Raw genomic sequence first — 12,562 nt, 5'->3', positions numbered from 1 at the left:
GTATAAAACCTGTCTCACAACCATCTGATCTTTGACAAACCTGACAAAAACAAGAAATGGGGAAAGGATTCCCTATTTGATAAATGGTGCTGGGAAAACTGGCTAGCCATATGTAGAAAGCGGAAACTGGATCCCTTCCTTACACCTTATACAAAAATTAATTCAAGATGGATTAAAGACATAAATGTTAGATCTAAAACTATAAAAACCCTAGAAGAAAACCTAGACAATACCATTCAGGACATAGGCATGGGCAAGGACTTCATGACTAAAACATCAAAAGCAATGGCAACAAAAGCCAAAATAGACAAATGGGATCTAATTAAACTAAAGAGCTTCTGCACAGCAAAGAAGCTACCATCAGAGTGAACAGGCAACCTACAGAATGGGAGAAAATTTTTGCAATCTACCCATCTGACAAAGGGCTAATATCCAGAATCTACAAAGAACTTAAACAAATTTACAAGAAAAAAACCCCATCAAAAAGTGGGCAAAGGATATGAACAGACACTTCTCAAAAGAAGACATTTATGCAGCCAACAGACATGAAAAATGCTCATCATCACTGGCTATCAGAGAAATGCAAATCAAAACCACAATGAGATACCATCTCACACCAGTTAGAATGGCGGTCATTAAAAAGTCAGGAAACAACAGATGCTGGAGGGGATGTGGAGAAATAGGAACACTTTTACATTGTTGGTGGGAGTGTAAACTAGTTCAACCATTGTGGAAGACAGTGTGGCGATTCCTCAAGGATCTAGAACTAGAAATACCATTTGACCCAGCGATCCCATTACTGGGTATATACCGAAAGGATTATAAATCATGCTACTATAAAGACACATGCACACATATGTTTATTGCAGCACTATTCATAATAGCAAAAACTTGGAACCAACCCAAATGTCCATCAATTATAGACTGGATTAAGAAAATGTGGCACATATACACTATGGAATACTATGCAGCCATAAAAAAGGATGAGTTCACATCCTTTGCAGGGACATGGATGAAGCTGGAAACCATCATTCTGAGCAAACTATCACAAGGACAGAAAACCAAACACCACATGTTCTCACTCATAGGTGGGAATTGAACAATGAGAACACTTGGACACAGGGCAGGGAACATCACATATAAGGGCCTGTCATGGGGTAGGGGGCAGGGGGAGGGATAGCATTAGGAGAAATACCTAATGTAAATGAACCTAATGAGTTAATGGGTGCAGCAAACCAACATGGCACATGTATACGTATGTAATAAACCTGCACGTTGTGCACAACTACCCTAGAACTTAAAGTATAATAATAAAATTAAATAAATAAAATTTAAAAACCTGTCTCGTTTGGATATTGTGACTCTCCCTAAGGCAATTTTTTTTTTTTTTTTTTTGGAAATGGATTTTGGCTCTGACGCCCAGGCTGGAATGCACTGGCATGACTCGGCTCACTGCAGCCTCTGCCTCCCAGGTTCAAGGAATTCTCCCACCTCAGCCTCTTGAGTATCTGGGATTACAGGCACATGCCACCACGCCCAGCTAGTTTTTTGTATTTTTAGTAGAGACAGGGTTTTGCCACGTTGGCCAGGCTGGTTTTGAACTCCTGGCCTCAAGTGATCTGCCTGCCTCAGCCTCCCAAAGTACTGGGATTACAGGCATGAGCCAATGTGCCCGGCCCCTCAAGCGAATTTATTTATGAGTGCCTAGCACAGTATCTGGCTCAATAAACATTAATGTAAGTAATTCACTTTATCTTTTTATTAACCTTCATTGCAGAAGAAGACTAGAGACAATAAATGACTTTCCCAAGGTCACAGGGAATGAAGTTGGATATGATTCACAATTTGTTTTTCCAGCTGTGTTACTGATGCAGAGGGAGCTATTTGGACAGGGAAAGGTAGTCCGAGGGGGAAAGTGACTGAGCTGTGGACCTGCTCTTCCTGTGTGCCAAGCATGCCACAGGGGTGCCAGGCACACAAGAACTGCCCGGTCATTTGTTCACTCATCACACATTTGTTGAGCAATTCCTCTATGGTGGGTACTGTATTAGGGTCTGAGATACAGAGAGGACAAGACACAGTTTCTGCTCTCAAAACTTGCTGGGCTTTGAAGAATGAATCAGAGTTAGCCTGGTTGAGATAAGTGGAAGGGCATATTCCAAAAAGAGGGAGCGGCCTATGAAAAAGCTTAGGGATGTGAATTATGCTGACACCCTCTGGGAACTGCAAACAATACATCTTGGCTGGAGAGAAGTATTCAAAGATGGGCATGGTGGGAGCTACAGCCACTGGCTTTGTATCCCACGCTAAGGAGCGTGTTTCTTAGCAAGCCTTAGAGGAGTTTAAAATGTGTAAAGATCATTCTGGCAACAGTGTGGAGAATGGATTGGCAGCAGGTAAGACATAAAGCAGGGAAACTAAGTGAGAAACAAAATGATCCAGGTGAAAAAGTTCATGGCCAAGCAATGAACATGGGAGTGGAGAGAAGCAGACAGACTGCAGTGATTTTAGGGAAAGATTGACTGGAATCAGTGACTGACTGCAGAGTAATTTTAGGATGGAAGAATCAAGAACAATTTCCAGATGTATGGCTTGGAGCAGATTTGAAGGGAGGACTGGGGAGAAGGAAGTTCATTTGTGGGCTGGGCACAGTGGCTCACACCTGTAATCCCAGCACTTTGGGAGGCAGAGGCGGGTGGATCACTTGAGGTCAGGAGTTCCAGACCAGCCTGACCAAGATGGTGAAACCTCGTCTCTACTAAAAATACAAAAATTAGCCAGGCATGCTGGCACGTGCCTGTAATCCCAGCTACTTGAGAGGCTGAGGCAGGAGAATTGCTTGAACCTGGGAGGCGGAGGTTGCAGTGAGCAGAGATCGCGCCACTGCACTCCAGCCTGGGCAAAGAAGCGAGACTCCATCTCAAAATAATAATAATAATAATAATAATAAATAAAAAGAAAAAGAAAAAAAATAAAGTTCACTTGTGGATCTGATAAGTCTGAGGTATTGTGGCTGCCAGCTTCCCACATGGCTCTGAATGATCCCTGCTTCCTTGTATTCGTGTCCTCATATGGTTCCCTCCCACATCACATCAGGATTGGTTTGTGTGGCCAATAAATACAACAGAAGTGATGACACATCACTTCTGAGGCTAGGTAGGGTGCCTTCCTCCTCATCCTCTCTTGGGGTGCTCACTCTGGAGGATGTTGGAGCTCCTCTGTGGGGAGGTCTGTGTGGCAAGGGACTGAGACCTCCTGCCAAAGACCTATGAGGTTGTGAGACTTCCAGGCAGTAGGTATGGGAATGAGCAAGATTGGAGACCGATTCCTTCAGCCCAGTCAAGTCTTCAGATGACTGTGGCCCAGGTTGATATCTTCACTGCAGCTTCCCAAAACACTCTGAGCCCAAACCACCCAGGTAGGTCTCTCCCAAACTCCTGACTCTCAGGATAAATTCTTTTTTTTTTTTTTTGAGACAGAATCTCGCTCTGTTGCCCAGGCTGGAGTGCAGTGGTATAGTCTTGGCTCACTGCAACCTCCACCTCCTGGGTTCAAGTGATTCTCCTGCCTCAGCCTCCCAAGTAGCTGGGATTACAGGCACCCACCAACACACCTGGCTAATTTTGTGTTTTTGATAGAGACAGGTTTCACCATGTTGGTCAGGCTGGTCTCAAACTCCTGACCTCAAGTGATCTGTCTGCCTCAGCCTCCCAAAGTGCTGGGATTACAGGCATGAGCCACCGCACCTGGCCAAATGTTTATTTTTATAAGCCACTAGATTTGGGGGATAATTTACTATACAGTAAAAAATAATGAATACAAATATCTTGGGCAACTCAACATTGAGCATAGGATTCTGGAACATGGAGGAGAGGTGTGGGATGCAGACAGGGGAGGTGGCACTGGTTAAAATCATGCCTGTGGAAGAGAGTCCTTGAGGGGAGCAGTGGAAGGAGAGTGGGAGAAGGCAGCCAAGGACAGAATTCTGGGAAATAAAGCATTTAAAGGACAGATACAGCAAGAGGAGCTGATGAAGGAGGAATGAAAATTATGAGGTAGCCAGATGTAGTGGCACAGGTCTGTACTCCCAGCTTCTCAGGAGACTGAGGCAGGAGGAGCACTTGAGCCCAGGAGTTCAAGGCTGCGGTGAGCTCTGATCATGCCATCACACTCCAACCTGGATGACAGAAAGAGACCCTGTCTCCAAAAACGAAAAAGAAAAAGATAAGAGGAAAATCAGGAGGGAGTGGATGGAGAGTTTCAAAAAAGAGGTGTCAAATAGTATGAAGATCAGGATTGAAGGTAAGAACTATTAAAATGTCCGCTGGGCCTAGTATCTTGGGGGTTATGCATATAGAGCAGCTGCTTACGGGTGAGGAGGCAGAAGCTGCCTGTAAGAGTGCAGAGGTAACTGGGAGTTGAGGCACTAGAGTTAGTGTAGACAGCTCTTTGAAGAAGCTTGCCTAGGAAAGGAAAGAGACGGATAACTTGAGGGGAAATTGGAATACAGGAAAGGCTTATCTTTTTAAAAATATATATATTTTATAACTCTTTTCCAGATTTTATTTTCATTGATTTTCTCTATTGATTTCCTGGGTTTTGTTCTGTTTTTTAGAGATGGGAGTCTCACTATGTTGCCCAGGCTGGACTCAAACTCCTAGGCTCAAGTGATCCTCCTGCCCTAGCCGTCCAAATGTCTGGGACTACTGGCACACCACTGCGTGTTTTATTTTTAAAGTTAAAGATGCAGGAGAGAGATGAGTAAAATTCACTGAGAGACTTCTGAAAGAGGAAGAAATTGGGGTTCAGGTTAGCCTTTGGCCAAAACGGTGACATTTCCAAGCAGAGAGAAGAATGGGGGCAATGATGCAGAAAAATGCTATGCTTTTTGGGGGGCTGGGGTGGAAAAGTCAGGAAGATGGGAGAAATAAAGGAGCTCCCTTCTGGAGGCCTCTGCTTTCTCTGAGAAATAGGAAGCTCAGTAGGGAGAAGGGTTTGGAGGCCAGAGAGGAGCAAGAGCTTGAAATAGTTGTTGTTAGGAGGGGATGCAGCTACAAATAGCCTTGAGGAAGGCTGTATTTGATGGTGATGGCCCAGCTGAGCTTGGGGACTACTGGGGCACCAACTGTATTAGGGTTCCCCAGAGAAACAGAGCAAACAGGATGTGTGTGTGTGTGTGTGTGTGTGTTTGTGTGTGTGTATACATATATATGGAGAGAGAGAGAGAAACAGAGAGAGAGAGATTTTAAGGAATTAGCTCACATGATTGTGGAGGCTTGGCAAGTCCAAAAATGTGATGGGGAGGGCAGCAGGCTAGAGACTCAGAAAAGAGTTGCAGTTTAAGTCCAAAGGCAGTCTGCTGGCAAAATTCCTTGTTTCAGACAGGTGCAGTGGCTTACGCATGTAATCCCAGCACTTTGGGTGGCCGAGGCAGGCGGATCACCTGAGATCAGGAGTTCAAGACCAGCCATGGCCAACATGGTGAAAACCTGTCTCTACTAAAAATACAAAAATTAGCCGGGTGTGGCGGCATGCGCCTGTAATCCCAGCTACTTGGGAGGCTGAGACATAAGAATCACTTGAACCTGGGAGGTGGAGGTTGCAGTGAGCTGAGATCGGGCCACTGTACTCCAGCCTAGGTGACAGAGCAACGACTCTATCTCAGGAAAAAAAAAAAATTCCTGGCCGGGCGCGGTGGCTCACGCCTGTAATCCCAGCACTTTGGGAGGTTGAGGCAGGCAGATCACGAGGTCAAAAGATTGAGACCATCCTGGCCAACATGGTGAAACTCTGTCTCTACTAAAAATACAAAAAAATTAGCTGGGCATGGTGGCATGCACCTGTAGTCCCAGTTACTCAGGAGGCTGAGGCAGGAGGATGATCTCTTGAACCTGGGAGGCGGAGGTTGCAGTGAGCTGAGATTGCGCCACTGCACTCCAGCCTGGTGACAGAGCGAGACTCCCTCTAAAAAAACAAAACAAAACAGTAGCAGTAGAAACCCCGTCTCTACTAAAAATACAAAAATTAGCCAGGCGTGGTGGTGGGCACCTGTAATCTCAGCTACTCAGGGGGCTGAGGCAGGAAAATTGCTTGAACCCAGGAGGCGGAGGTTGCAGTGAGTGGAGACAGTACCACTGCACTCCAGCCTGGGCGACACAGCGAGACTCTGCCTCAAAAAAAAAAAAAAAAAAGGAAAAAAATTAGTTGGGTGTGATGGCATGCGTCTGTAGTCCCAGCTACTTGGAAGGCTGAGGCGGGAGGATTCCTGGAGGCCAGGAGGTCAAGGTGCTGGGATTATAGGTGTGAGCCACTGCGCCTGGCCCCTTTACATATATTTTCTTGCTTAATCCTTATAACAACCTCTGTGAGGCAGGCAATGTTATTATCCTCATTTTATTAATGAGGAAGTTAAGGCACAAAGAAGTTAAATAACTTGCTAAAGAGGCTTCTCACCAGGCCAGGCGCGGTGGCTCACGCCTGTAATCCCAGCACTTTGGGAGGCCGAGGCGGGCGGATCATGAGGTCAGGAGATCAAGACCATCCTGGATAACACGGTGAAACCCTGTCTCTACTAAAAATGCAAAAAATTAGCCGGCCGTGGTGGCGGGTGCCTGTAGTCCCACGCTACTCGGGAGGCTGAGGCAGGAGAATGGCGTGAACCTGGGAGGTGGAGCTTGCAGTGAGCCGAGATTGCGCCACCGCACTCCAGCGTGGGCGACAGAGCGAGACTCTGCCTCAAAAAAAAAAAAAAAAAAAAAAAAAAAAAGAGAGGCTTCTCACTAAAGGGCAACTTACACGAGCTTGAGTAGTGTGGAAGAGCTACCTGGAGGAAGTGGTAACTAAGTGGAGACCTAAAATTTAAGTCCGAGTTAGGAAGGTGAAGAGAGGGGAGAAAGAGGGAAGACTGTTCTAGGCTGAGAGACCTGCAAAGGCACAAGGTCAGAGAATGGGTCTGCTGGAGGGTCAGAGTAGAATTTGGGGAAGTCACTGGAGAAGTAGCTGGGAAAAGATGGAAGGCTTTTACAGTCCCTTTAAGGAATTTTAATTTTGATCCTAAGGATAAAAGGAAGCCCTTGAAGGGTTTTAAACTGGAGAGTGTGCTGATCACATTGTATTGAATACAGATGGCTCTTGCTGCAATGTAGAGATTGTGTTGGATGGATAGCTGGGAGACATTTTAAAGGCTGTTAAAATCAGATTCTAAGGCCAGGCACGGTGGCTCACGCCTGTAATCCCAGCACTTTGGGAGGCTGAGGCGGGTGGACCACGAGGTCAGGAGTTCGAGACCAGCCTGACCAACATAGTGAAATCCCATCTCTACTAAAAAATTTTAAAAATTAGCTGGGCGTGGTGGTGCGCACCTGTAATCCCAGCTACTTGGGAGACTGAGGCAGGAGAATTGCTTGAACCTGGGAGACAGAGGTTGCAGTGAGTGGAGATTGCGCCATTGCACTACAGCCTGGGCGACAGAGCGAGACTCCATCTCAAAAAAAAAAAAAAAAAAATCAGATTCTAGGCTGGCGTGGTGGCTCGTGCCTGTAATCCCAGCACTTTGGGCGGATCCCTTGAGGTCAAGAGTTTGAGACCAGCCTGGCCAATATGGCAAAACCGTCTCTACTAAAAATAACGAACGTTAGCCAGGCATGGTGGCACCTGCCGGTAATCCCAGCTACTCGGGAAGCTGAGCCAGGAGAATTTCTTGGACCTGGGAGGCGGAGGCTGCATCATGTCCCTGCAGCCAGGGTGACAGAGTGAGACTTTGCCTCCAAAAAAAAAAAAAAACAAACAAAAAGAAATCAGATCCTAGGCAAGAAACGATAGAAGAGGAGATTTGGGGAGAGGGCTTTTTTTTTTTTTTGAGAAAGGGTCTTCTACTGTTGCCCACAATGGAGTTTAGTGACATGATCATAGCTCACTGCAGCTCAAGCTTGGGCTCAAGTGACCCTCCTGTGTCAGCCTCCCAAGTTAGCTGGGACTATAGATGTGCACCATCATGCCTGGCTAATTTTTAAAATTTTTTTATTTTTTTGAGACAGAGTCTTGCTTTGTCGCCCAGGCTACAGTGCAGTGGCATGATCTCAGCTCACTGCAACCTCCACCTCCCAGGTTCAAGCAATTCTCCTGCCTCAGCCTCCCAAGTAGCTGGGACTACAGGCACACACCACCATACCCAGCTAATTTTTTTTTTTTTTTTTTAGTAGAGACAGGGTTTCACCATGTTGGCCAGGCTGGTCTTGAACTCCTGACCTCGTGATCCACCTGCATTCGCCTCCCAAAGTGCTGGGATTACAGGCATGAGCCACCGCGCCCTGCTATTTTTTTAAACTTTTTATTTGTACAGATGGGGTGTCAATGTGCTTCCCAGGCTGGTATTGAACTCCTGAGCTCAAGAGATCCTTCCGCCTCAGCCTTCCAAAGTGCTGAGATTATAGGCATAGGCTACTGCTCTAGGCAGAGGGCAAAATTGACAGGGTCTAGTGATGGTTTGACAGGGACAGTTGTGTGCGGTTTGGGGAGCAGAGTTAAGGAGGATGCTCCCAGGTCCTGGTTTGGGCAGCAGGGTGGATGACAGAACCGTCAGGGGCTAGAGAACACAGTGGGGGGTGGGAGGGGCAGGCTGTGGCGAGGGGCTGGGTGGAGATATTTGGGTCTTGAACTTGCCAATTTACGTGCCTGAAGGACACCCGGATGGAGGTATGTTGAGGGTGGCTGGATGTGTGGTCTGGAGCACAGGAAAGGTCAGCACAGGCGCAACAGCTGAAGCCTTGGAGAGGAGCAAGTGGATGCTGAGTGAGAAGACAAGGTGAAGGACAGAGCCTGGGGAGCCCCAACATTTATGGGCAAAGGAAAAGAGGAGACTGCAAAGGAAACCGAGAAACTTCCCTAAAAGGAAAAAGAATAGCCAGGAGGGAGCAGTATCCCAGGTGCCCAAGGAAGATGCTTGTGGGAGGCACAGCGAGCAGCATCAGGACCACAGGGAACCGAAGAGATGTGCTGAAATGTGCTCCTTGGATTTGGCAAGTCGGAGGAGTCACTGGAAATCTCTTCAAACTGGAGGGCATGCGAATCAGAGGGACTAAGCTGGGCAAGAGGATGCTGAAGGACTAAATGGCTGTGTGGAGGTTCTAGGACTCAGTGAAAGGGTAAGAGACCAGAGGGCCTCGGGAGGGCAGGAGGAGGAAAGAGAAGGATCCAACCCCCCGACCCCGCCACCCCATGCACTTCCTTAGATCTTTTTGGCTCCTGCTGGGCCCCCTTCTTAGTTGTCTGAAAGAACCTCTGATGGGCACAGGGAAATAGGGTTAGGAGGGCCTCCCTGGGATGCTGGTGGAGGGTGGAGGGTGGAGGAGAATGTATGAATGAAGCACCAAAGCAAGCCGATCCTGGGACGCCCTTCCCTCCAGGCCTTCGGAGGAAGGAGCCCTATCCTCCTTTGGAGAGGTGGGGCAGAGACCTGGCCTCTCCAGCCCAGTGGCCAAGGGACCCAACAGAATTGTGACCTTTAACCCCTCTTGGAGTCCAGGCATTTCTGACCCCCCACCCACCCCAACAGGGACTTCCAAGTTGGGGTGTGGCTCAGGCTGGTCCCCTGAGAGAACAGTGGGGGATGTTTCATGGTCACCAGAAGGAACAGCCAGGTATGATGGGAAGGGGTGGGAATGCTTTGGAATCCTATCCCATCCTCCTGGGGTTGGGGGGTGGTCTTGGCACAGCTGCCCAGGCCGCAGCCCTGAGCTTGGCCTTCTCCCGCCTCCCCAGGCCCTGTTTGATATGCACATCAGATACTGGTGCCCTTTGCAAAACTGTTACTTGTACAGAAACCTGAGGGAAGACGAAGGAGGGAAACTGCTCCCCTCTCTTTCCTCCCTCCAGCCACTTCCACTTGCAGGGACCTGCAGGGAAATGCCCACCCCCAGCGCTCTCCCTCACCACTCCGAGACTTGCAGCTTCCCCAGCTCCCCACGTGGCCCATGCTGGGAGTTTCTGCTCTGCCGGAAATGGCTGGGCCTTGGAGCTTCCCCCCACCCCCCGGGGCCTCTCTACCTCAGCCCTTCCTCCCCATTTCCCCAGCCCTGAGCTCAGCGCTGCCCTGCACCTCCTCCCCAGCCTGGAGTCTCGCTGGCTGTGGCATATTTGCCTCAAGCCTCCCCAGTTCCCTTCATCTCCAAGAATGGAGTTAGAGCCTCACCCTAGTCTGTCCGCTGAGCAGCTCCCGAGATGCCCACTGTGCCCTAAGGGTGCAGGAGATGGCAGCAGGGGATGGGAAGCAGGCCATGTGAGGCAGGCCAGGGCTAGGAGAAAAAGAATGGGCTTTGGAGCGGATGGGCCAGGATTACATGCCCTCTGCCTGCGGCCTTCCAGCTTGTGTCCTGGACCCGCTTCCTGTCTATGAATGGAGGTGGTAATACCACCCCACAGAGCCCTGGTGGGGACCAAATGAACAAGGAATGAAGTGCCCAACACGCTGCTTGCCACATAGCAAGTAGGTGCTTAAAACAACATCCTCCTCTCCTCCTCGGGATGCTGATGAAGAGGGTCTGTGCAGAGGACTCTCCAAGAGGCTAGGGGCACCTGGTGTGGGGGTGCAGGGCTCTTTTGTATCACTGAGGGGCCTTTGGGGGAGGAGGGGAGGGAATGCTGAGCCCTGGGCCACTCCAGTGCCTCTGCTCACTGCATTCCTTGGCCTGGCCTGGGGAGGACCTCTGGGAAAGGCTTCTCGCAGTGGAAGATCTCGTGGGGAGGGCCTGGTGTTGGGGGGACAGCATCTGGGTTTTGAACACCCTCGGCACATACAGACTCCCCCAACTCATAATCCGATTTATATTCCTACTCCCTCCTCTGGACCCATCACCATGGCAACAGTTTTCTCAGTTGCACTTCATCAGCTTCCCAGCGAATCTTTTCTCCTGCCCCCTCCTTAAGTCTCTTTTTCTCCTCCTCTGTCAGTCGGCCTTTTGAGGTACTCACAGCGCTCCCCTCCCCTTTGTCCCTCAGCTTCTGTTTCTCTCCTGCTCTTCACGAAGGTGTCCCTGCCTGCCTCTGTCCACATCTCTCTCTGTGGCATCCCTCCTGCCTCTCCCTTTTCAAGTGCACGATTGCAGCAACAAGCTGGGGTCTGTTGATTAGACAAGAACTTGTGTCCTTTCTGATATCAGGACAGAAAAGCAGAGTCCTGGAGGGTTTCGATTCCAGTGGGCTCTGCACAGATTTCTGTCTGCAGTGATGCAGTGGGTGGGTGGGTGTCAGCTTGGGTTGATCTTTGCAACTCTGACCAGGAGGCAGAGAATGGTGGGGAGGGAAAGCAGTGTGGGGCAGTTTCTTCTCCAGCCCTAAGTCATGGCTCCGGATGTGTCCTACAGGGTCCTGTCCTTGGTTCGCTTCCCAGCTCACCCTCAGAAACCTCACCCAATGCCTGCAGCTACCACTGGCATGCGGTGCTTCCCAGGAACATAACTTTGGCTCTGACTTCTCTTTCTCTGAAGTTCTAATCGAATCGCTTCACCTCCTCACTGGTCATGTCCACTTGGTATCCTACTGCCATGCCTAATGCAGTGACTAACCATGAACCATCTTCCCCAAGCCATCACCCCCTTCGTACTTCCCTGTCACTACCCAGAGTAAAAACCTTGGTGCTACGTGTGACTCCTCTCTCTGTCATCCTCCACACCTCACTTGAGTCCAAGGTGGATCAATTCTCCTTTGGAAATGTCATTCAGATCTGCTTCCTTCCCTTTGCCATTCCATACATATTATCCTAGACCAAGCCCCAGCCCCAGTGAGTCATCTCAGGCCCTCACAGTAGCCTCAGAGGTGGACTTTCCACTTGGGTTTACCACAAGTGTAGTCCCTCTTCAGAAACCAGACCTGGCCAGGTGCCATGGCTCATGCCTGTAATTCTAGCACTTTGGGAGGCCAAGGCGGGTGGATGACTTGAGGTCAGGAGTTCAAGACCAGCCTGGCCAACATGGTGAAACCCCCACTAAAAATACAAAATTACCTGGACATGGTGGCACATGCCTGTAATCCCTGCTATTCAGGAGGCTGAGGCAGGAGAATCACTTGAACCCGGGAGGTGGAGGTTCCAGTGAGCCGAGATCGTGCCACTGCACTCTAGCCTGGGCAATAGAGTGAGACACTACTAGACCTGGGCCTGTCCTGAGCATGACTTTCTTCTCCTCCTCCTCACCCTCCCATTTTTCTTCTTCATTTATTGAGCACCTGTTATGTACTAGGCTTGTCATATATGCTATCTCTTTTAATCTTCACAATAAATCCTAAGGTAGTTGTTATCGCATTTTACAGGAGAAGAAACAGATGCTCAGAGCGGTTAATTTGCCCAAAGTTCTACAGCTAATAAGCAATAGACCTGGAATTGTAGATCAGATCCAGATCTGTTGAGTTCCAGGGTTAGTGTTTTGTTTTTTTGCTATACCAGATTGTTCCTTGTATCACTCTTCACTCAAAAACCTTCTGAGCCTTTCTATTTTCTTCTTTTGAGGCTCATTTTGATCTGACTCCATCCCACCTACAAAACCATTTATTCTTGCTACTTCTCAGTGTG

General features: G+C 48.8%; 2 annotated features.

Annotated features, from left to right (window-relative positions):
• Nucleotides 9,221–10,000: an enhancer, noted in NCBI's record as "H3K4me1 hESC enhancer chr11:118811125-118811904 (GRCh37/hg19 assembly coordinates)". NCBI's record gives its function as "activates a minimal SCP1, AML or CMV promoter by ChIP-STARR-seq in naive H9 embryonic stem cells {active_cell/tissue: H9 hESC(naive)}" and the evidence as "EXISTENCE:reporter gene assay evidence [ECO:0000049][PMID:30033119]".
• Nucleotides 10,001–10,782: an enhancer, noted in NCBI's record as "H3K4me1 hESC enhancer chr11:118810343-118811124 (GRCh37/hg19 assembly coordinates)". NCBI's record gives its function as "activates a minimal SCP1, AML or CMV promoter by ChIP-STARR-seq in naive H9 embryonic stem cells {active_cell/tissue: H9 hESC(naive)}" and the evidence as "EXISTENCE:reporter gene assay evidence [ECO:0000049][PMID:30033119]".

Source organism: Homo sapiens, chromosome 11 (genome assembly GCF_000001405.40).
Source record: "Homo sapiens chromosome 11, GRCh38.p14 Primary Assembly".
Taxonomy (NCBI): Eukaryota; Metazoa; Chordata; class Mammalia; order Primates; family Hominidae; genus Homo; species Homo sapiens.
This window is presented reverse-complemented; position numbering and strand designations above follow the sequence as displayed.